The sequence below is a fragment of the Homo sapiens genome, chromosome 16 (assembly GCF_000001405.40).
Source record: "Homo sapiens chromosome 16, GRCh38.p14 Primary Assembly".
Classification (NCBI taxonomy): domain Eukaryota; kingdom Metazoa; phylum Chordata; class Mammalia; order Primates; family Hominidae; genus Homo; species Homo sapiens.
The window spans coordinates 20,447,560-20,473,141 of NC_000016.10; the positions used below are offsets into that span (position 1 = coordinate 20,447,560).

The 25,582-nt window shown below is 39.6% G+C and overlaps 1 protein-coding gene across 10 annotated transcripts in view; it reads left to right on the forward strand.

Annotated features, from left to right (window-relative positions):
• The window catches only part of ACSM2A (acyl-CoA synthetase medium chain family member 2A), a 36,149-nt gene continuing 14,528 nt past the window's right edge, over nt 3,962-25,582 (forward strand). For 4 of the 10 annotated variants that reach the window (XR_001751833.3, NM_001308172.2, XM_017022924.3 and 1 more), the window contains exons 1-6: nt 3,962-4,122; nt 12,548-12,732; nt 17,958-18,168; nt 21,953-22,160; nt 23,514-23,657; nt 23,977-24,130. Coding sequence is in view for 9 of the 10 variants with exons in the window: in NM_001308172.2 (NP_001295101.1) it covers nt 12,556-12,732; nt 17,958-18,168; nt 21,953-22,160; nt 23,514-23,657; nt 23,977-24,130 (894 nt within the window). In the remaining variant the exon portion in view is untranslated. Of the gene's footprint in view, nt 4,123-4,525; nt 4,908-12,547; nt 12,733-17,957; nt 18,169-21,952; nt 22,161-23,288; nt 23,400-23,513; nt 23,658-23,976; nt 24,131-25,582 lie in introns of those variants that run through there. The other 6 variants (NM_001308169.2, XM_017022925.2, NM_001308954.2 and 3 more) reach the window with 5 other exon arrangements.

Below are 25,582 nucleotides of genomic sequence, written 5' to 3' on the forward strand. Positions count from 1 at the left end.
GCATGCATGTAAGTATACATAAACACCTGTACACCTGCGCATACAGCTCTACACACACTTGCACACATGTACACATACACAGTCTCACATACATCCATGTACTGACACATAGGCACACATGGGCACAAACATGCACAACCTTACACACATGTCTTTACACACAGAACCGCACACACATAACAGCTATACATACATCCCACAGTCACATGTGCACACACAAAAACATACATGCATGCACTTAGGCTATCTCACATACACAGCTATGTACTTCACACAGGCACACACATTATAACAACATGTTTTCTTTTCTTTACAGCCCTTATTCATTCTCTCAGCTATTTACTGAATGTTTACTGTGTGCTAGCTACCGTTAAAAGTCCTTGAGCTAAATCATTGAACAAAATGAGCAAAAATATCTGCCCTCATGAAGCTTAGATTCTAATGGAAGGAGAGAGAGGCAAAAATAGTAAGTAAGTATGTTAGCAGGTAGTGAGTATTAGAGACAATAGTGCCTAGTAATGAGGAGGAGGAAGAACCAACTTGGAGGTGGGTTGCCGTTTTGAGAAGGTGGTCAAGGTAAGCTTCATTGAGAAGTTGACAAAAATATTTAGCAAGGAAATAAAGTAGGAGAGGGAGTTATCCATGTAGATATCTATGAAAAATCAGTCTGAGAAGAGGAAACAGCAAGTGCAGATACCCTAAAGGCAGAGTGTGACTTCAAGGAACAGGAAGAAAGCCCTTGTAGTTGACATGCAGTGAATAAGGGGGTAAAGGAACAGGACATCAAACCAGAGATGAAGAGAGTGTGTGAAAATCTTACCAGACCTTGAATAATGAGGTAAAAACTCTGAAGTTAATTTTGCATGAAACTGAGATTCACCGGTAGGTTGTGAGCAGAGGTGTGACATGATCTGACCTCTGACTTATCCTTTACAGTATATAAAATGAACTTCATTACTTTACATGTTATTATCTGTGTCACTTCTGAACAGGAATGAATCTGTCATGGTCACCTCTGTGTCTACCTGAGAGTAACACTCAGTCAATATTTGTTGACTACTTGATAAGGACAGACATTTCCAAGGAGAAAAGTGTTCTGAGGTGCTCCAGTTTGGATGTTTGCTCTCAATAAAACTCATATTGAAATTTGAGATGGAACCTTACAGGAGGTATTTGAGTCATGAGGGAGAATCCCTCATGAATAAATTAATGCCCTCCCTAGGGAGTGAGTGAGTCCTAATCCTATTATTCCCCACAAGAGCTGGTTGTTGCAAAGAGCCTGGCATCTCCCCACTATCTCTCTTGCTTCCTCTCTCACCATGTCATCCATGCACACGCCAGCTCCCTTTCACCTTCTACCATGAATAGAAGCATCCCGAGGCCCTTGCCAGCTGCAGATGCCCAATCTTGAAATTTCCAGCTATCAGAATCATGGGCCTAATAAACATTTCTGAAATAAATTACCCAGCCTCAGATATTTCTTTATAGCAATGAAAAATGGACTACAACAGGAAATTGTTGCCAGGGAGTAGGGTATTGCTATAAAGATACCTGAAAATATGACAGCAGCTTTGGAACTGGGCAATGGAAAAGGTTGGAAGAGTTTGGATGGCTCAGAAGAAGACAAAGAGTTGAGGGAAAGTTTGAAACTTCTTAGAGATTGGTTAAATGGTTGTGACCAAAATGCTGTCAACGTAAAATAGTCAAAAGAGTCAGCATCTAGTTAAAAGAGCTCATTCAAGCACAAAGTATGAGTGCGGCCATCCAGGGAGCACAGCTATTCCAAAGAATGGTGAGCAGTGTTGTGCTCCTGGTGTAGGGGAAAATGAGGATTGCTTATACCAGCAAAATGAAGTTGCTGAACAAAATTACAACATTTTCCATAAAAAAGGTTAACATACAGATATAAGATTTCATTGGCTACTTTTGATTACATGCTAAAGGGATAGTTTTACATTCTATTAAAAGGAGACAGTCACAAGGGTCTCTATCTTCACTTTGTTTAGCGCAGTTTTGAATAAAGAAGAGTCTGGTTAATGTATAACATCTCAACACAAAGGTCAGAAAGCAACGGTCATGCACCAGAATCAGGGGAAGTTGTGTTACCTCAGTCAGCTTTCAGGCCTTAAGTTTTCCCTTTTGCATGATAAATTTGGAAGGTCCTAAATTTAAATTTTTTACAATGCTGATAGAAATATAGACAGTACAGGCCATGCCAAAAAATCTCAGATAGAAATGAGAAACTCATTGGAAGCTGGAGCAAAATTCACCCATGTTACTCTGTAGCAAAGAACTTGGGTGCACTGTGTCCATGCCCTAAGGCTTTGTGGAAGGCTGAACTAAGAGTGATGACCTACGGTGTCAGATGCAAGAGATATCTAAGCAGCAAAGTGCTCAAGAAGTGATGTGGTTACTTTTAACAGCTTATGTTAAATTGTGACAGCAAAGGAATGACCTAAAGCCTGTGTTTATAATTAAAGGGGAAGAAGAGCATTAAAATTTGGATAATTATCAGCCTGCACATAGTGGTAGAGAAGAAAAGAGAATTTTCAGGAGAGGAGTCCAAGAAAGTGTCAGAACAACTCTGCTAAAGCATGACCAAAAGGGGGCCTGGTGCTAATAGGATAATAGGAAGAAGGTTCCAAAGGCATTTCAGAAATCTTTGGGGCTGCTCCTCCCATCACAGGCCCAGAAGACTAACAAAGACAGAATGGTATTAATTCTGCAGGCACCCAGAATGTAGGGGCCATAGATGCTTGGTGGTAAGATCCTCTACAAAGAATTCCCTCTAGGGAAATGCCTCATGAAGCCATGGGAGTGGGGCCACCCCCAAGACACAGAACTGTAGGATCACCAATTTGCAACTCTAGCCTGAGAGAGCTGAAGCATGGGCTGATACCAGCTATAAGACAATGTTGGCCATGCATGGTGGCTCATGCCTGTAATCTTTGGGAGGCCATGATGGGAGGATCACTTAAGTTCAGGAGTTCAAGACCAGCCTGGAGAACATAGTGAGACCACGTCTCTATAAAACGTTAAAAAATTAGCTGGGCATAATGGCATGTGCCTGTAATCCCAGCTGCTCAGGAGGCTGAGGTGGGATGGTTGCTTGAGCACGATAGATTGAGGTTGCAATAAGCTGTGATCAGACTACTGCACTCCAGCCTGGGCAATAAAGTGAGACGCTATTTCAAAATAAAATAAATATGAAGAGATATAAAGAGTTTTTTTCCCTGTTGAGTTTTGGGCTTACTTGGACAGTGTTGGGTTGGGTTGGAACAGGGAAGAGAATGGGTCAGACTCTGAGTGTAGCCTGCAGGTGGATCTGATGGCTTTTTCACATCCATGTGAGAAAGAAAAGAGTCAGGGCAATCTCTAAGATTTGATGTTGGAAGAACTAGAGGAATAGGGGTGACATTTGCTGAGATGGATAAAACCATACCTGGAATGAGAGTGGCCAGGGAAGGATGTGATCAACCTCTTAGCTTTGGACAAAGTATGTTTGAGATGCCTGTTAGATATCCAGGTGGAGAAGTCAGGAAGATGAGGATGCAGGAGAGAAAACCAGGTTGGATACACACGTGTGGGGGCCATTGGCAAGCCACATGGTATCCAAGCTATGACATTTGATGAGATAATGTACAGAGTGAACGTGGATAAAGATGAGGAGGAATCAGCAAAAGAGAAGGAAAGCAAGAGGAAAACCAGGCAAAAGTGGTATGCTGGAACCAAGCAAAACAAAGAATTAAAGGAGTGTTCATCAAGCCTATGTGAGCTCCATTTCTCTCTCTTGGGTTGAAGCAATAATTTTCTGTCAGTCCTGGGCATAAACCTGCTTCATGCCCCTTGGATTGAAAGTGCAAGTCCAGTTGACCTCAAATGCTCTAATGTTGTAATGTCCATAAACTTGGCTAGGAGGACTGCTGTTACCCTTTGTAAGACTCCAAAGTTATCCACTGTCAATGATTAGCTGAGCTCTCTTTCTGACAGTGCAGGGATTCTGAAGCTGTCTGCTTGAGTTACTGTGCTCTCTTCCAAGGCTGTAGGAGTTCTGGAGCTGCTGGCTGGAGAGGAGGGTGGACGAAGCTCTCTCTAGAAAGACATCCTGAGAGGACTTGGCAGGTGAGCACTGTTTCAAGGAATGGGCTGATGGGGTCATAATCCATGATAACCTCACCAATCTTTTAGAGTCACAGCTGGTGAGAAGAGCAAAAATCCTCACAGAAAAGCAGAAATTCCTAGGGACCATGAAAGACAGTACCTGCCAAGTCTTAGGAGGAAACACTGGGCAGAGGAAAAGGCACCTTTATGGCAGCAACAGGGAGAGACGAGGGCAGCTGGAAAAAGGTGGTAACAGGGGGCTGGTAGTTGGGTGGTGGTCAGAGAAGGATGAATCTCAGAGGAGGTGAGACCAGAAGAATGAAGAAGAGCTTATTATGGAAAAAGAGAGGGACCAGCAGGTACAAAGGCAATGTGTAGTTCTGCTCAGGAGCTGGTACAGTAATCTTCAATTCTTATTCCATAGAAAAAAAGGAGACAGAAATGTCAGACACTGTGATGGTTAATACTGAGTGTCAATTGATTGAATTGAAGGATACAAAGTGTTGATCCTGGATGTGTCTGTGAGGGTGTTGTCAAAAGAGATTAACATTTGAGTCGGTGGGCTGGGAGAGGCAGACCCACCCTTAATCTGGGTAGGAACCACCTAATCCAGCATGACTAGAATATAAGCAGGCAGAAAAATATGAAAAGAGAGACTGGCCTAGCTTCCCAGCCTAGATCTTTCTTCCGTACTGGATGCTTCCTGCACTTGAACATCAGACTCCAGGTTCTTCAGTTTTGGAACTCAAACTGGCTCTCCTTGCACCTCAGCCTGCAGATGGCCTATTGTGGGACCTTGTGATCATGTGAGTTAATACTGAATAAACTGTATATATATATACAGTTGTGTATATATATATACACACATACATATGTTAATACTTAGTAAACTCATATATATGCTTATATATATGAGTTTATAAGTATTACTTATACATATGAGTTTATAAAATATATATATTCCATTAGTTCTGTTTCTCTAGAGAACCCTGACTAATACAGATTTTGGTACCAGAAGTGGTTCTAGAGGAAAAGAATATTAAGGATGGAGTTCTTTTGTTGGTTTTGGGGTTTCTGGAGTTGGTGCCTTAATATGATTAGACCCCAAAATACTAAGGACTCTACTTCTAATAGTATGGAGAAGACTGATAGCCCTTGGTGTGAACTGTTTAAAGAGTTATACAAAATAAATGCATTTGACACTCCTGATTCATTGCTCATGAGAGGCAAGGAGTTTAGTGACCCTATACATCATACCTTTGACCATATGTGGAGAACCAAGGAACATAATGAAGCTGGTTGGTTGCTCCTAAGTTCAGTGGATAAAGTGATGAAAGAAAATGATGAACTCGGGGATTCTATCTCACCGCTTCAGAAGCAGATACTGAGCCTCAAATCTGCCAAGATTGCCCTGAGTGAGAGTCTAATCTCCTGTAGAGAAAGAACTGAAATTGTGGAAAAATAGACATAAGCTCTTATCATGTTAGTGGCTGACCTGCAATGAAAGGTGCATGCACAGCCTCACCATGCACAGCCTCACCAAGTATCTACTGTTAAAGTGAGGGCATTGATTGTTTTGCAGGAAGTCAGGGACCCTGAATGGAGGGATCGGCCAGAGCTGAGGCAGAAGAACATAAATTGTGAAGATTTCATGGATATTTATCACTTCCCAAAATTAATACTTTTATAATTTCTTATGCCTGTCTTTACTGCAATCTCTGAACATAAATTGTGAAGATTTCATGGACATTTATCACGTCCCCAATTAACACTCTTATAGTTTCTTATGCCTATCTTTACTTTAATCTCTTAATCCTGTTATCTTCATAAGCTCAGAATGTAATTCACCTCAGGACTACTATTGCACAAATGGATTGTAAAACATGTGTGTTTGAACAATATGAAATCAGTATACCTGGAAAAAGAACAGAATATCAGTGATTTTCAGGGAACAATGGAAGATAACTATAAGGTCTGACTGCCTGCGGGGTCGGGCAGAATAGAGCCATATTTTTCTTCTTGCAGAAAGCCTATAGAAGGATGTGCAAGTAGGAGAAATATTGCTGAATTCTTTTCCCAGCATGGAAGAACCCTGGGGAAGGAATGCATTCCTGGGGGTAGGTCTATAGATGGCCTCTCTGGGAGTGTTTGTCTTATGCGGTTGAGATAAGGACTGAAATACGCCCTGGTGTCCTGCAGTACCCTCAGGCTTACTAGGATTGGGAAATTCCAGCCGGGTAAATTCTAGTCAGAGTGGTTCTCTGTTCTCAAACCCTGTTTCCTGTGAAGATGTTTATCAAGACAATGTGTGCACAGCAGGACATAGACCCTCATCAGTAATTCTAATTTTGCCTTTGCCTTGTGATCTTTACTGCCCTTTGAAGCATGTGATCCTTGTGACCTACTCCCTGTTCATACACCCTCTCCTCTTTTAAAATCCCTAATAAAAACTTGCTGGTTTTGCTGCTCGGGGTCACCATCATAGTCCTACCACTATGTGATGACAGCCCCAGAGGCCCAGCTGTAAAATTTCTGTCTTTGTACTCGTTCTCTTTATTTCTCAGACCGGCCGACACTTAGGAAAAATAGAAAGAACCTATGTTCAAATATTGTGGGCTGGTTCCCCTGATAGATTGGAAAAGAATGAGACCCTGCAACTTGGAATGGGGAGGTATGGGAGGACACTGGTGAAGCTGGGGTCACTGACTTTGTAAACTCCAATGAACTTTTTTTGCCAGAAGAAACAACTTCCTCCCCACCCAGTAGTGGCAGCATTCCCTCCCTAACCCATGCTGCCATCAGCCTTTCCACCTTTGTCTGAGGAGGTAAACTCTGTGCTGCCTGAGGCAATAGTGATGGCCTCCCCTGAGGCAGTTGCCAAGCAAGATAATGAGAAATAACAATCAGTACAGTTTGGCTCTCAGAAAGCCACATCCCTAGGAAAAGGGAAAGAGTACTACATCAGGGGAACATCCCATGGGAAAAAAGAATCTGAACAATAGCCTTGAGCCCCAGATCTTCCCTCTAACATAGCCTACCCAAATGAGAAGGAACCAGGAAAACGATTCTGGGAATATGACAAAACAAGGCTGTTTAACACCTCCCCCCAAAAATCACACTAGCTCACCAGCAATGGATCCAAACCAAGAAGAAACTCCTAATTTACCTGAGAAAGTATTCAGAAGGGCAATTATTAAGCTAATCAAAGAGGCACCAGAAAAGCTGAAGTCCAATTTAAGGAAAAAAAAAAATACAAGTTATGAGGGGAGAAATCTTCAGTGAAATAGATAGCATACATAAAACAATCATAACTTTAGGAAATAAAGAACACAGAGAAAAACACACTGAAAAGCCTCAACAATAGAATTGAACAAGCAGAAGAAATAACTTCAGAGCTTGAAGACAAGATTTTGACTTAGCCAAATCCAACAAAGACAAAGAAAAAAAAAATTTTCAATGAACAAAGCCTCCAAGAAGTTTGGGATTGTGTTAAATGATCAAATCTAAGAATAATTGGCATCCTTGAGATAGAAGAGACATCTAAAAGTTTGGGAAATGTATTCAAGGAAATAATCAAGGAAAACTTTCCCAGCCTTGCTAAAGACCTAGACATCCAAATATAAGAAGCTCAAAGAACACCTGGGAAATTCATTGCAAAAAGATCATTGCCTAGGCACATTGTCATCAGGTTATCTAAAGCCAAGATGAAGGAAAGAATCTTAAGAGCTGTGAGGCAAAAGCACCAGGTAATCTATAAAGGAAAACCTGTCAGATTAACAGCAGATTTCTCAGCAGAAATCCTACAAGCTAGAAGGGATTGGGGCCCTATCTTCACACTCCTTAAAAACAAATTATCAGCCAAGAATTTTGTATCCAGTGAAACTAAGCTTCATAAATGAAGGAAAGATGCAGTCTTTTTCAGACAGAGAAATACTGAGAGAATTCACTACTAGAAAGCCAGCACTACAAGAACTGCTAAAAGGAGCTTTAAATCTTGAAACAAATCCTGGAAACACATCAAAATAGAACCTTTTTAAAGCATAAACCTCACATGACCTATAAAACAAAAATACAATAAAAAAAAAACCCAAGCTACACAGGCAACAAATAGCACAATGAATGGAATAGTACCTGACATCTCAATACTAATGTTGAATGTAAACGGCCTAAGTACTCCATTTAAAAGATACAGAATTGCATTATTGATAAGAATATGCCAACCAAGTATCTACTGCTTTCAAGAGACTCATCTAACACAAGAACTCACATAAACTTAAGGTAAGGGGGTGGAAAAAGACATTCCATGCAAATGGACACCATAAACAAGCAGGAGTAGCTATATTTATAACAGACAAAACAAACTTTAAAGCCACAGCAGTTAGAAAAGACAAAGAGGGACATTATGTAATGATAAAAGGTCTTGTCCAACAGGAAGACATCACAATTCTAAATATATATGCACCTAATACTGGAGCTCCCAAATTTATGAAACAGTTACTACTAGACCTAAGAAATAATATAAACAGCAACACAATAATAGTGGGGGACTTCAATACTCCACTGACAGAACTAAACAGGTCATCAAGACATAAAGTCAACAAAGAAACAATTGATTTAAACTGTACCGTAAAACAGATGAATTTAACAGATATTTACAGAACATTCTACCCAACAACCATGGAATACACATTTTATTCATCAGTGCATGGAACTTTCTCCAAGATAGACCATATGATAGGCCACAAAACAAGTCTCAATAAATCTGAGAAAAGTGAAATTATATCAAGTACTCTCTCAGACCGCCTTGGAATAAAATTGGAAATCAACTCCAAAAGGAATCTTCAAAATCACGTGAATACGTGGAAATTAAATAACCTGTTCCTGAATGATCATTGGATCAACAATGAAATCAAGATGGAAATTTAAAAATTTCTCACACTGAAGGATAATAGTGACACAAGCTATCAAAACTTCTAGGATACAGCAAAGATGGTACTAAGAGGTAAGTTCATAGCCTTAAATGCCTTCATCAAAAAGTCTGAAAGAGCACAAATAGACAATCTAAGGCCACACCTCAAGGAACTAGACAAACAAGAACAAATCAAACCCAAACCCAGCATAAGAAAGGAAATAACCAAGATCAGAGCAGAACTAAATGAAATTGAGATAAAAAAATACAAAAGATAAATGAAACAAAATCTGGTTCTTTGAAAAGATAAATAAGATTGGTAGACCATTAGGAAGATTAACCAAAAAAAAAAAAAGAACAAAGAAAATCCAAATAAGCTCAATTAGAAAGGAAATGGGAGATATTACAACCGACACCACAGAAATACAAAAGATCATTCAAGGCACTACAAACAGCTTTATGCACATAAGCTAAAAAACTTGGAGGAGATGGATAAATTCTTGGGAAGATACAACCCTCCTAGCTTAAGTCAGGAAGAATTAGAAAGCCTGAACAGACCAATAACAAGCAGCGAGATTAAAATGGTAATACAAAAATTATCAACAACAACAACAACGACAACAAAAAAGCCATGACCAGATGAATTCACAGCTGAATTCTACCAGACATTCAAAGAAGAATTGGTACCAATCCTATCGACGCTATTCCACAAGATAAAGAGGGAATCCTCCCTAAATCATTCTATGAAGCCAGTATTACCCTCATACCCAAACCAGAAAAGGATGTAACAAAGAAAGAAAACTACAGACCAATATCCTTGATGAACATAGATGCAAAAATTCTTAATTAGCTGCCAGCTAACTGAATCCAACAGCATATCAAAAAGATAATCCACCATGATGAAGTGGGTTTCATACCAGGGATGCAGGAATGGTTTAACGTACACAGGTCAATAAATGTGATACACCACATAAACAGAATTAAAAACAAAAATCAAATTATTATCTCAATAGATGTAGAAAAAGCATTTGACAAAAATCCAGCATCCTCTTATGATTAAAACCCTCAGCAAAATCAGCATACCATGGATATACCTTAATGTAATAAAAGCCATCTATGATAAACCCACAGGCAACATAATAGTGAATGGGGAAAAGTTGAAAGCATTCCCTCTGAGAACTAGAACAAGACATGAATGCTTACTCTCACCACTTGTATCCAGTATAGTACTGGAAGTCCTAGCCAGATCAATCAGACAAGAGAAAGAAATAAATGTCCTCCAAATTGGTAAAGAGGAAGTCATACAGTAGCTGTTTGCTGTTAATATGATTGTATACCTAGAAGACCTTAAAGACTCCTCCAAAGAACTCCTACAACTAATAAATGAATTCAGCAAAGTTTCAGGACACAAAATTAATGTACAAAAACCAGTAGCTCTGCCATACTTTAATAGCAACCAAGCTGAGAATTAAATCAAGAACTCAACCCCTTTTATAATAGCTGCAAAAAAAAAATACTTAGGAATATACCTAACCAAAGACCTATTCAAGGAAAACTACAAAACCCTGCTGAAAGAAATCATAGATGACACAAACAAATGGAAACACATCCTATGCTCATGGATGGGTAGAATAAATATTGTAAAAATGACTATATTGCCAAAAGCAATATACAAATTCAGTGCAATTCCCATCAAAATACCACCATCATTCTTCACAGAACTAGAAAAAAAATCCAAAAATATTGTATCTATATATCTATATATACTATATATTATATATCTAATATATCTAGATATATATGTATTATATATTTATGGATAACATATCTCCATATATACTATATATAGTATATGCAGTTATGTAGTATATATAACTATTTATAATATAATATATGGATATAGTATATGTATTATTATATAATACATAATATTACATTATATATTATATAATGTGTTATATACAATATAAATGTATAATACCCATATATTATATATAATATATCCATATAATATAGTATATATATTTTTTATATATATATATATGTATTTTTTGCCACACTCCTGTGCCTTTCTTCATTCCAAGCTCATGGATATATAATATATCTATATATCTCTATATCTGTCTATATATATATCATCTTCCATGAAGTCCGTATGGTATGGGAGGGAGACAGCATGAGCTTGGAAGGAAGAAAGGCACAGGAGTGTGGCAATGTATATTACATATATATAATATATATATTATATAAACATAAATATATATAAAAAAGAATTTTTTATATTTTTTAGGTATATACTATATAATACATACATAGTATATATTATATATATATGCATATATATATATATATATATATATATACATATATATATATAATGAAATACTACTCAGCCATGAAAAAGAATGACTTAGTGGCATTCGCAGCAACCTGGATGGGATTGGAGACCATCGTTCAAAGTGAAGTAATTCAGGAATGGAAACCCAAGCATCATATGTTCTCAGCCATAAGTGGGAGCTAGGGTATACATTGGTGCAAAGGCATGAGAATGATACAATAAACTTTGAGGACTTGGGGGAAATGATGGGAAGGAGGTGAGGAATAAAAGGGTACAAAGTGGGTTAAGTGTATACTGTAAGTGTTAAGTGTATACTCCTCGGGTGATGGGTGCACAACAATGTCACAAATCACCAATAAAGAACTTATATAGAAACAACAATTATGACAGCTGTAATTTCTAAAGTGATTGTGTTAGGTCCTGTGCACTAGATGGATAGGACCTGGGATTTAGGATTTATCAGTCCAGATTCACTTTAAAGAAAAGGATGCTACTTGTATTAGTTAGCATTTGCTACAGTAACAAACACCCTATACATCTTAGTAGCTTTTAGTCATGCATATTTTCCCCTATGGGTCTGTGTGTTGCTAGTGGCCATGCTAGGCTCAGCTCAACTCCACATTTCTTGTTGTTCTGGGTCCCAGTCTGAAGGTACAGCATGATCTGGGTTATGCAAGTCTCATGCAGAGGGGAGAAATGTGAGAATTTCTGATGAACCGTAGAATCCCAGACACTCACATCTCGTTGACCAAAGCATATCTCATGAGCAAGCCAAAGTCAATGAGAGGTGGATACATATTCTTCCTCCTAAATGCACTGGGAAGTCACTTGAAAATGAATGGGGATTTATAATCCTAGAATGGAAAGGGAGTGAATTGCTGGGAACAACTATCCCATCTATGACCCACTGTATTTTAAGCACAAGGGGATTTATTACATGGAAATGGGCGTTCACAAAACTGTCAGAAGTGTTGAAGATGTGGGATCTAGGACTGGGTCTGTATCCTCTTATGCCTTTAGAAAACAGCACCCCACAAGGAGACTGAAACAGATGCTGAGTGCCAATTTACTCATAACTACAGCAAATTAATTCCTGGGAAGAATCCTATAAGGTTGGGATGAATCTCCTGAAGCTGCTGATGATCAGTAGAGCAATCTGTTAAAGAAGCTCTCACCTGTGTCTCTTCTTTCTTTTACAGGCCTGAATATGCATTGGCTGCGAAAAGTTCAGGGACTTTGCACCCTGTGGGGTACTCAGATGTCCAGCCGCACTCTCTACATTAATAGTAGGCAACTGGTGTCCCTGCAGTGGGGCCACCAGGAAGTGCCGGCCAAGTTTAACTTTGCTAGTGATGTGTTGGATCACTGGGCTGACATGGAGAAGGTAATGGGGTGGAAAAGAGGCACAGAGTGAGACAATTTTGTTGACTTTTAAAATTCATCCATTAATTCAGTAAATATTTGTTAAGTACTTATTACATGTAAGGCACTGTAATAAGCTATGGACAAGACACTCGTCTTCCATGAAGGCAGTATGGTATGGGAGAGAGACAGCATGAGCTTGGAAGGAAGAAAGGCACAGGAATGTGGCAACCTGGTAACTCCCAGGCAGCCAACACACAGTTTGTTTACACTATATGTAGACTGCACATGCTCTGTTGTGACCTCCCAGGGTGAAATGAGGACTTTTGGTCTGGGGTCGTAGAAGAGGCGGGTTTGAATCTAATAATAGCAAATCAAGCCTGGGCAACACAGCGAGACTCTGTCTCTACCAAAAATGTTTAAAACAAAATTAGCCAGGCATGGTGGCACATACCTGCAGTCCTAGCTACTCAGGAGATTGAGGTGGCAAGATTGCTTGAGCCCAGGAGTTGGAGGCTGCAGTGAACTGTGATCACACCACCACACTCCACAGAGTGAGATTCTCTCTCAAAAAAGTGGGGGGCAAATCAGCACTGAACAAAGACTGAGTCTTCCCAGAAAGTTAGGTCACGTGTCCCTGTCAATAGAGGTGTGCAAGTAAGATAGCTACGAGGTGACAGTTATCAAAAGGGCTTCAATATGAGACATCCAAGAAAGAAAAAGATGAAGAAATTTCTGAGTTTCCTTCCCAGCCCTGAGCGTCTAGAATTTTAATCCATTCACTGCTGATCCATCAATTGCCTTCACCTGAAGTCCTATGACTCTTTCTGTAGGATGGAAGGATTCATTCTGGCTAGGGTAGGGGAAGGGGTGGAGCTACCAGCGTGAACTTAATACATTGGTGCTCAAAAAGAGTCACGATTATGACATGATGTCCTAAGTTCCCTACACTATGAAACAGTCTTAGTGTGGAGATTGCAAATGCCTTGCCTCTAGGCTGAAGACGGCCCTAGGTGTGGGTACTCTTAAAAAAAATAAGGTTCAACATTTTAAAATTGAAAATTTTCAAACAGAAATTTAGATTTCTGGATTTTTTAAAGTTATACTTCCTTTAAATATTGAGGAAGGCCCTTTAAATATTCAGGAAGGCCCTTACTACCATGACTCACCATTCTGAATCCATAAAAGTAAATTTGCTATATAAACATCAAAAAATATTTCCATTCACAAATAACACCATTAGCAAAATAAATGACTAATGAAAACCATGGAGAAAATATTCAACTCATATAACAGCAAAAAAGTTAATAATATAAAGTGAGCTTGTAGAAACCAAGAATAAAAAGGTGCAACTCATTATAAAACCAGGCAAAGTATATGAACAGATAGTTCACAAAAAAGTGAACTCAAATGGCCATTAAATATAAAAATTTCTCACCCTCCCTCATAATAAAAGTAATGCAAGTGATAATTTTGCTGAAATAACTTTTATGCACCTGTCTTGTTAGTCAAATACAAAAGGTTGTTTTTTTCTTTCAGAAAAAATAGTTTAATTATCACAAGACATCTTAGTGGAAGGATGGGAAATATTTCTCAAATCTGCCCCCTTGAAAGCTCAGAGACTAGGGTTTTCAAAGATAATTTGGAGGGCAGGGGGCTAAGGAATGGGTGCTACTGATTGCTTAGGAATGAAATTATAGAGATGTGAGAAATGTCTTCAAGTGCTGAGTTTGTTTCTGGGTGAGGCAGACACAGGACAGGTAAAGTCAGTTCCTTGCTGTAGAATCACAGGTCTAGGTAGTGTCAGTAACTTTTCCAGAATGCAAATGTCTGAAAAATATCTCAAAGGTCAGTCTTAGATTTTACAATAGTGATGTTAACTACAGGAGCAACTGGTGAAGTTACAAAGTGTGACTTCTGGTTACATGACTCCTAAGCAGTAAGCAAGCTAGGGAACAATGGCTGGTTATTGCTTAACTATGCTTATAGCTTAGCAGAATTGAGACCCCTACCATCTACCATAATTCTAATGCTGTGGAATTGCATTAATTTCACAAAGGGGTTTAGGTCCCTGAACAAGAAGGGAGTTGGTTTCAGGAAGAGACTGTTGTCATCCTTGCTTTAAAGTTAAATTATAAACTAAATTCCTCCTATAGTTAGCTTGGTCTATGCCCAGGAATGAGCAAGAACAAAATACAAATCTTTAACAACTCTATTAGCAAGGCTGTGAGGAAACAGACACTCTCATGTGTTACCAAAAAGTGCTATAACTCTGATGGAGGCAAATTTTGAAATATCTAATAAAATTGCTGACATGTTTTGTTTTTGATTTTGCATCATTACTCTCAAACTATGATCTGAGAACCCCTGAGGATACATGAGACTCTTTCAGGGGATATGCGAAGGGTCTATTTTACAATAAAACAGAGAAATTAGAACCCTTATGCATCATGATGGGTATGTAAAATGTTACAGCTATTATGGAAAGCAATATAACATTTTCTCAAAAAATTAAAAAATAGAATTCCCATTCAGCAATTCCAACTCTGGGTATACACCAAAAAAAACTTAAAATCAGGGTTTCTGAGGAATATGTGTACACTCATGTTCACAGTAGCTTTATTCACAGTAGTTGGAAGGTCAAACAGCCCAAATATCTATCAACAAATAGACAAAAAATAAACCATCATTCTCAGCAAACTATCGCAAGGACAAAAAAACCAAACACAGCATGTTCTCACTCATAGGTGGGAATTGAACAATGAGAACACATGGACACAGGAAGGGGAACATCACACACTGGGCCTGTTATGGGGTGGGGGGAGGGGGGAGGGATAACATTAGGCGATATACCTAATGTTAAATGACGAGTTAAGCTGTGCAGCACACCAACATGGCACATGTATACATATGTGACAAACGTGCACGTTGTGCACATGTACCCTAAAACTTAAAGTATAATAATAAAAAAAGAAATATCAGGCAAATCCAACCAAAAAAAAAAGAGAATATTGTATTTTTCAATGTGAGAAGGACATGAGAATTGGAAGGGCAGGAGCAAAGTGACATAGTTTGGATATTTGTTTTCTCTAAATCTCATGTTGAAATGTAATCCACAGAGTTGGAGGTAGGGCCTGGTGGAAGACATTTGGATCATACGGGCAGGTCCCACACGAATGACTTAGCACCATCCCCTTCGTTATGAGTGAGTTCATGAGAGATCTTGTTGTTTTAACATACATGGCACTTCCCCACGCTCTCTCTCTTGTTCCTGCTTTTGCCATGTGATGCACCTGCTCCCCCTTCACCTTCTTCCATGGCTGTAATCTTCCTGAGGCCCTCACCAGAAGCAGATGCCAGCACCATGCTTCCTGTACACCCTGCATAACTGTGAGCCAATTAAACTTTTTTCTTTATAAATTACCCAGTGTCAGATATTCCTTTATAGCAATGCAAGAACAGCCTAATATAGTACCTTATATAAATGAAATCACACAGTATTTGGTTTTTTGTGTCTGGCTAATTTCACTTGGCATGTCTTCAAGGTTTATCCATGTAATATATGTCAGAATTTCCTTCCTTTTTAAGGCTGAAATAATATTCCATTGTTATGTATATGCAACATTATCTATTCATCAAACATTCAGGTCAAATCTTGAATGCTCTGTTGCTTAAAAATTTCTTCTCTCAGATTCCCTAAGTCATTACTCTTACGTTAAAACTTCCACAGATCACTAGGCTATGAACACAATGCAGCCAAGTTCTTTGCTAAAATATAGGAAGGAGGACCTTTGCTTCAGTTCCCGAAAAGTTCCTTATTTGCATTTGAAATCTGGTCAGCCTGCATTTCATTGTCCATAATTCTATCAGCATTTTGGTCACAACTATTTAACCAGTGCCTAAGACGTTCCGAACTTTTCCTCATCTTTCTGTCTCTTCTAAGCCCTCCAAACTCTTCGATTTCTTCCCATGACCTAGTTCCAGAGTTAGTTCTACATTTTCAGGTATCTTTACAGCAATATCCCACTTCTGGTACCAATTTTCGGTCTCAGACTGTTCTTGTGTTGCTGTAAAGGAATACCTGAGACTAGGTAACTTACAAAGAAAAGAGATTTAATTGGCCCAAAGTTCTGCACAGTGTATAGGAAGTGTGGTGCTGGCATCTGCTTCTGATGAGGGCCTCAAGAAATTTACAGTAATGGTGGAAGATGAAGAAAGAGCAGGCACAATAAAGGGCAAGATGAGGAGCAAGACAGAGAGTGAGAAGGTGCCACTCACTTTTAAACAACCAGATCTTATGATCTCATTTATCACCAAGGGGATGGTGCTAAGCCATTCATGAGGGTCCCACCCCCATGATCCAATCACCTCCCACCAAGCCCCACCTCTGACATTGGGGATTGCATTTCAACATGAGACTTGGAGAGGACAAATATTCAGACAATATCATGTATCTAGAATAGTCAAATTCATAGAGTCGGAAAGTAGAATGGTGTTTATCAGGGCCTAAAGGGAGAGGGGATGACGGGTGATTGTGTAACGGGGACAGAGTTTTCATTTTGGATGATGAAAAACTCGGGAGATGGATGGTGGTGATTGTTGCATAACAATGAGAATGTACTTAATGCCACTGAACTGTACACTCAAAAATAGTTAAAATTGGAAATGTTATGTGTATTTTTACTACAAAATTAAAAAAAGTAAATAGATAGAGATACATATATAAATAAATCTAAAGTGATATTTGCCTTTTTATTCTAATTCTTTCACGAGTATACAATAGCATTTTCCAGAAGGTACATGTTGGTACTCACAACAGAGTGAATGCAGAATCAGATGAGAGGATCCAATGTTTTTCTACTAAGACGTTAAAGGGAATTGCAGAATAAATAGACGCAATAAATAAATAAAATAATGCCACTTTCCTCATTATTTTTTCATTTTGAAAAGTTTACTTTATCATTATAAAAAAATTATGCATGCTAATATATAATGGGTTTATTACAGTTATTTCTAAAAGCATACATTTACAAAAATTCTGTTTTAATATCTACTATGGTAGATATTGACAGATATAACTCATATAAATAACAAGTCTTTAGAATTTTCAATACCTTTTAAGATTGTATGGAGGTGCTGAGATAAAAAACCTTACTAAGCACCAACTTGGCAATCCCAAGACTTGGAATTTATCCTACCTGCTTGTGTACCAATGCCCCCTGATCAACAGGGCTTCTCTTTCCTCAGGCTGGCAAGCGACTCCCAAGCCCAGCCCTGTGGTGGGTGAATGGGAAGGGGAAGGAATTAATGTGGAATTTCAGAGAACTGAGTGAAAACAGCCAGCAGGCAGCCAACGTCCTCTCGGGAGCCTGTGGCCTGCAGCGTGGGGATCGTGTGGCAGTGGTGCTGCCCCGAGTGCCTGAGTGGTGGCTGGTGATCCTGGGCTGCATTCGAGCAGGTTGGTAACTGACTACCTGGACAGAGAACTGTCTTCCTTGTGAAGAAAACTGATAGCAGAGAAATGCAGCCACCTCTCTCAAAAGAAGTCTCCTCCTTGGAGCATGCTGTCCTGTATCATATGAAGAAAGACATCTCCCTACTTCCACTTATTTAAGCAAACTATGTGCCAAGCACTTATGCAGGGTGAACAACAACAATGACATAGTTTACATATTCATGGGACTTACAGAACTTTGGAGAAAGCTCTTAAACTATTAATTGCACATGTAAGTATTTAATCAGAATTATGATAATTGGTATGAGAATTCTATTAAAATCTATAAAAATAAATTTGGCAGACTGTGACCTGCAGGCCAAATCCTGCCCAAAGCTTGTTTTTGTAAATAAAGTTTTATTATAACACAGTATTATATGTGGCTGCAGTTGCACTACAGTGGCAACTTGAGTAGTTGGAACAAGAGAGTGTCTTATCCACAAAACCTAAAATATTTACTATTTGGCCCTTTGCAGAAAAAGTTTGCCAATGCTTTTCTAAAAGAAGACTTGAATTAACCAATATGAGGAGCAACTAAGTCTCAATGGAAGTGATATTTGAGCTGAGATCTGCAGGATGAGTAGGATTTTGCCAAGAGATAGAGAGGCTTGTGCCAAGCAAAGGGAACAGCATATGTGAAGATGTAATTATCTGATGATTTCTTCTTGTCCACTTCCCAGAAAAGCCAAACACTGAAAACAGTAGGAGTTGTGGTAGAGAAGAGTTTAATAATTGCATAGACAGCCAAGTTGAAGGATGGAGGATGTTTCTTAAATCCACCTCCCCAGGAAATCAGAGACTAGAGTTTTTCAAGGATGCTTTGGCTTCCAAGGGGCTAAGGAATAGTAAATGCTGATTGGTTTGGCTGGGGATGAAAACATGGGTTGAAGCTGTCTTCTTGTGTTGAGTCAACTCCTCAGAGATCACAGAACTAGTTGAGTTAGTTTCTTGGTATCAGTTACTGATCTGGGTAGTGCAAGCTGGTCCATCAGAATGCAAGGTCTGAAGAACACCTCAAATACCAGACTTAGGGTTTACCATAATGATGTAATCTATAGGAGAAATTGGGGAGGTTACAAATCTTGTGACCTCTGGCTCCATGACTCCTGAACTATAATTCTAACCTTGTGACAAATTTGTTATTTTTCTAAAGGCAGTTTCAATCTCCAAGCACGGACACAGTTAGTTTCAGGAAAGAGCTATTATCATTTTTATTTTAAAGTTAGACTATAAGTTAGATTTCTCCCATAGTTAGCTTGGACTATGTCCAGGGATGAGCAAAGATAGATAGCTTGTGAGGTTGGAAACAAGATGAAGTCAGCTATGTCAGATTTCCCTCAGTGTCATAATTTTTCCAAAGGCAGTTTCAAAGCCACAGAGGAGGGAAACTTGAAAATTATAAAAGAACCTAAAAGGATATCTATGTGCCTGAAGTCCAGGCCATAAAAGAAAGTAGTGGCAATAGAATGAACATGTAGAGGTGGCCAGGTGCTAAACTGGCAGTGCCTTGTGGTCCTTGGTAAGAGTTGTGGACATTTATCCAGTGGTGAATGGGAAATGATTGATGGATTGAGTGACACTCAAACCATTGATGCATTGAGTGACACTCAAACCATTGATGCACTGAGTGACATGATCCTCCTCTGTTTGGATGGTCATATTGGATGCTCAATAGGGAATGGGATGAAGAAGACAATAGTGGGGTTGGAAATCTCAGATAAGAGGTGAAGCGATGGTGATGGCTTCAGTTTCGTTGAGGTAGTAGAGATGGAGATAAGTGGATTTAACAGGCAATTGGGGGGTGAACTAATAACAGGGTTATTCAAAGGAGATGCGAGGGAGAGAGAGAGAAGTACAGACATTTCAGCAAGTGGGTGGATGGTGCTTTCTTTCACTGGAGTGAAGAACACAGATATAGAAAGAGGTATTAGTGTGTTAGGAAAATATCACAAGTTCAATTTGGGCATGTTGAGTCCAGGATGTCCATGTGATGTTCAAGAAGTGATAACAAGTTGGATTTAAGGCTCTAAAATTTGACATGGAGACAGAAATTTGAGAATCATCAACTTTTACATTAAAAGGATGAGAAGTACAGTGGTATCAAAAAGAACCCCAAGAAACTCCAGCAACCTCCTTCACAAACTGCCCTTTCCACCTCTGCTTGCACACAGCCTAATCCCAACTAAAAGCTCCAACCCACCTCATATTCTGGGGACAATGGGCTGAGCATGAGAAAGCAATGGGTAAAGAGAAAGACATGAATGCAGCCAGGAATTAGAAACTATCAGAGGCGACCAAACCAACTGCAGGAACTTGGAAGCCTGTGGAAAGAGAGAACAAGCCAGAGAGAAAGGTGACATACTGAAATTATAGCCAGAAGGAAAGGAGAACCCAGAGGAAGAGATGTGTCTATTGTTCTGTGTCTGACTCAATTGGCCACCATGGTAGAGAAACATTTGAGGATATTTACAGGTATGCAGTGAGAATCCCAAAGTGTTGAGAGTGGGAAGAAAGTGAGCTAAGGTTAAAAGCTATTTAACAGGACAGGCATGTGGTTTAAGCTTCACAAAAAATGAAACCTGTGTAGTTATTCTGTTCTTTTCTTTCTTTCTTTTATTTTTTTGAGACGGAGTCTCCCTCTGTAGTCCAGGCTGGAGTTCAGTGGTGCAATTTTGGCTCACTGCCTCCCAGGTTCAAGCAATCCTCCTGCCTCAGCCTCCTGAGTAGCTGGGATTACAGGCGTGTGCCATCAAGCCCAGATAATTTTTGTATTTTTAGTAAAGCTGGGGTTTCGCCATGTTGGCCAGGCTGGTCTTGAACTCTTGACCTCTAATAATCCACCCTCCTTGGCCTCCCAAAATGCTAGGATTACAGGCATGAGCCACCATACCTGGCCCTAAGTCTAGTTATTCTACAGAATATTTTAATAATCAAAGGAGTCTCATTAAAATAGGAAACAAGAACAAGAATTTAGGAAAGTGATAATCATGGGGTATAAAACCTCATTTATGTGCAAGGAATAAGTCTAATGTTTTAAGATAAATTGTACAGCATGCTAAACACAGCTAATAATTCAGTACTGTAAATTTCAGTATCATTAAGAGCAAAACTTTCTAATGTTCTCATCACAAAAAAATGTTAAATACTTGAGGTGATGGATATGTGAATTAGCTTAATTTAATCATCTCACATTGTCTTCAAAAATTATAATACCACTTTGTACCCAATAAATATATACAACTATACTTTGTGTGTACATAGATATGTAAAACTGAAGGCACTCTCATCTAAGAAAAATGCATTTAATGTCCCAGGGATGAAATAAATTGCCAGGACCTAGAGCTATTGGTGTTTCAAGACCATGGACAGTTCCAAGTGCCTTTCCTCATGATTCTTTAATTATCATATGAGAGTTTTGAATACAGCAAACTCCTGTAGAAAATTTTTTTTGAGGGGTGAGAGTGGGTGAGGAGAATTGTATGTGTCTTAGACTATCAACAATGTGACATTAGCAATTCAATTTCTTTTCTTTGTCTCAGTAGGGCCCTTAAGACTCTGACAACCCAGGGAATCCTAGGTTTCATTCACTCCCTTGTCCTTAGTTCCCTTTTTTATTGACACTCTCTATTGGTCATTACTTCCTCATCCTCTCCTTCCCCACTTGCTCGCTGCTTGATGTTTATCTCAGGCTTCTCTAGGGACAAAGAAAATCATCCTTTCCAATTCTCTAAATTGTTGGCTTCTTTAGGTCTCATCTTTATGCCTGGAACCATCCAGATGAAATCCACTGACATACTGTATAGGTTGCAGATGTCTAAGGCCAAGGCTATTGTTGCTGGGGATGAAGTCATCCAAGAAGTGGACACAGTGGCATCTGAATGTCCTTCTCTGAGAATTAAGCTACTGGTGTCTGAGAAAAGCTGTGATGGGTGGCTGAACTTCAAGAAACTACTAAAGTGAGTATCTACATGTCTCAGCCTGGGTTTTAACTAAAACTGGAAACAGAGCCAAGCACTTAGGTGCAGGTGCTTTATTGAGGAGGTGCAGAAAGAACAGCATGGGACTAGGAAGAGTGAAGCTGGGAAGAAATAAAAGCTAACACAAGGGTATTTTTTTTTTTTTTTTTTTTTTTTCAAATCATTGCAAGGACTAAATGGGGCTTGATCTGCCTGGACCTTCTGAGCAGCATATAGAATGCCTCCCAGGATTGTCCTCTAAAGGATTGAAAAGCACTGATCCATTAGCATCTGGTCCCCACAGGTTCAGGGTTGTCCTGGGGGTGTTATTGCCTCCACACTTCTGGGCTGCGCACTCATGCGTGAAGAGTGGCTCAGAGTTCCATGCTATGGTAAAACAGAGAAACTATGGGGCACAAAGTGAATCACTTGTGATGCACACTGGAAACAACATGATGTTAACACCAAGTGGGTTGAAACCCACCCAGAACAATTTACTGGAACTATGACTCAAATCAGGGGTGAGGCCAAGGTCATGAGGGAAAACCCAAGAGATGGCTGATATACCAAGTTTCTGGGCTCTTCTTTCCACCTCTTGTATCTCTAAGAGAGGCTGATCAAGGGCAGAGGACTTTCCATGTGTTGATAGCATGGAAAGACCTTGATAGTCCTTCCAAAAGCCGATAGCAAGACTGGCTGGATTAATGATTTTCTCTGTCAACATGTCTGAAATCCCTCTAGCAGGGGCACATATGATAGGAAACTTGAAGGGATAACTTCAGCTTTTCCTTTCTAATGCCATGGTCTTTAAGGTAGCTGTCATGGAAATAAACACCATCATGCCTGCTTTTAAAGGCTCAAAATCAGGACACTGGAGATGTCCAAGAGATATGTAGGTGCTTCCAGGGAATAGAAGAGAATGCCAAGAAAGTACTTGGAAAACTTGTATTAATTCCACCCCTCCTGTCCACTTGGTGTCATGCCAGAGCTCTTCACAACAATTAGATTAGCATTTATTGAGTTCTTACTAAGCAATTTGCTCATTTCTTTGGTGGTAGAGATAACTCTATAAGACTTGATCTCACTTTTTTTGCAGATATAAAGTCAGACACAGAGACGTTAAATAAGTAGTTTAAGGTTGCATTGATAACAAAGTGTGAAACTTCAGTAGTTTTCAAACCCAACTCTGATTGACTCAGACTCCCATGATCTTAATCACTCAGCAGCCTCTCTTGTGAGGTGGGTCCATCAACTTGCCCTTTTCAGCACAGTGGGTGGTGGGAAAAGATGGGTCACTTTGATATCTGGTGTCCAGTCTAGCTCTGAAAAAATGACAATCTGTGTCTCTGTCAGTGAGGCATCCACCACTCATCACTGTGTGGAGACTGGAAGCCAGGAAGCATCTGCCATCTACTTCACTAGTGGGACCAGTGGTCTTCCCAAGATGGCAGAACATTCCTACTCGAGCCTGGGCCTCAAGGCCAAGATGGATGCTGGGTAAGCTGAGCTCTTTCTCTCTACAGAGAATTACATGAGTTTTGGAGTTAGAAGGAGAATGAGACCCAATTATATATTAAGTCAGGTCAACCGGGGTCCCACCTTCTGAACATTCATCTCCTGTTGATACAGGATGTGTGGATAGAACAACTTTTCTTCCCCCTTCCTACTTATACATAGACATATGCCTATAAACCTGCAGGCAGATACACACACACCTCTGCACACACACCTCCCTTTCCTCCCCTACACCTTAGTGTCCCACGCATCCTAAGCATGCACCCACCTATATGTACATGTGTTTTGTCTGTGTTTTCAGTTGGACAGGCCTGCAAGCCTCTGATATAATGTGGACCATATCAGACACAGGTTGGATACTGAACATCTTGTGCTCACTTATGGAACCTTGGGCATTAGGAGCATGCACATTTGTTCATCTCTTGCCAAAGTTTGACCCACTGGTTATTCTAAAGGTAAGAGAGGATCCAGTTTGCAGCAGTTATTCAGAGTGAGCCCGAGGTTTGCACACTTCAATTTATTGTAGTTTGTTTCAATTCATCTAATTTTTGCTAAACCCCTGCCATGTGGTGAACAGTGTTCAGTAAACGAGATGGAAATGGTCCCTGACCTCACAGAGCTCATGTTCTGGGGTAGGAGAGAGGCACATATATAGATAAAAGGAGTATGTTCAGGAGAAAGATATTGTAGGTCATTTGTTCACTCAACAAATGTAACGGGCTCTTCCGCTGGTGTCACCTATCAGATAGATGCTGGTGAACCACGTGTAAAAGGGAAAGCTGGAGTATTGGAGGGGATGCCATCTCGCTCTCATGAGTGTGTGTGTGTGTTTGTGAGTGCACATTTCATTTCCTTTTTTATTTGCAGCATAACACACAAACTGAAGGTAAAGTACACAGAGTGCCACCATCCTATGTGTACAGTTTGAAAATAATTTAGCTGTGTTAGATACTGTCTTAGTCAGCTTGGGCTACTATAATAAAATACCATAGTCTAGGTGGCTTAAATAACAGACATTTACTTCTCATAGCTCTGGAGGCTGTAAGTCTGAGATCAGGGTGCCAGCATAATTGGATTCCTGGGGAAGCCCTCTCTTCCTGGCTTGCTGATGGCTCCCTTACTGCTATATTCTCACATGGTTGAGAGAGACAGTGCTGGTATATCTTCCTTTTTACAAATAAAGGCACTCATGCTATCACTGGGGCACCTGCTTCATTACCTTGCATAATTACCCCTAAAAGCCCTGCCTCCAAATACCATCAAGTTGAGGGTTAGAGCTTTAATATAGGGATTTAGGTGGGGACACAACATCCAATTCATATCAGACACCCCTGTAAACACCACCAGATAAAGACATGAAACATTCCCACCACTGCAGAAGGTGTTCATACCCCTTCTCTGACAGCATCTGCCCCCCATAAGTTAATCATTCATTTGATACCTATCACCATAGATTAATTTTATCTCTTCTTGGAATTTCATGTAAATGGAGCCAAATTATATGTAATCTTTTGCATTTGGCTTCTTTTACTCAAAATATTCTCTGTGAGATTAGTCCACGTGTTGCATGTATCAGATGTTTGTTGTTTTAGCTGGCTGCAAAGTATTTCATTATGTGAATCTGTAAAAATGTTCCCCCATCCTATTGTTAATGAACTTTGGGTTATTTCCAATTTAAGATGGTTTTCTAGAAGCAATTCAGAAGAATAAATGGAATTTTTTCCTGTAGAACTTGATGGTACAGCCATTAAGTAAGACCCACAGACTGCAGCTATGCATTATCCTGTAGCAACAAAGCAATGAAAATGACCTCATTTTGCTTATGAAGATACACCCTATGTTGGACTCTATGATAGAGGGATTGGGTTATTTCCCTGCTGTGCCCCCAGATCTCTAATGGCCCATCC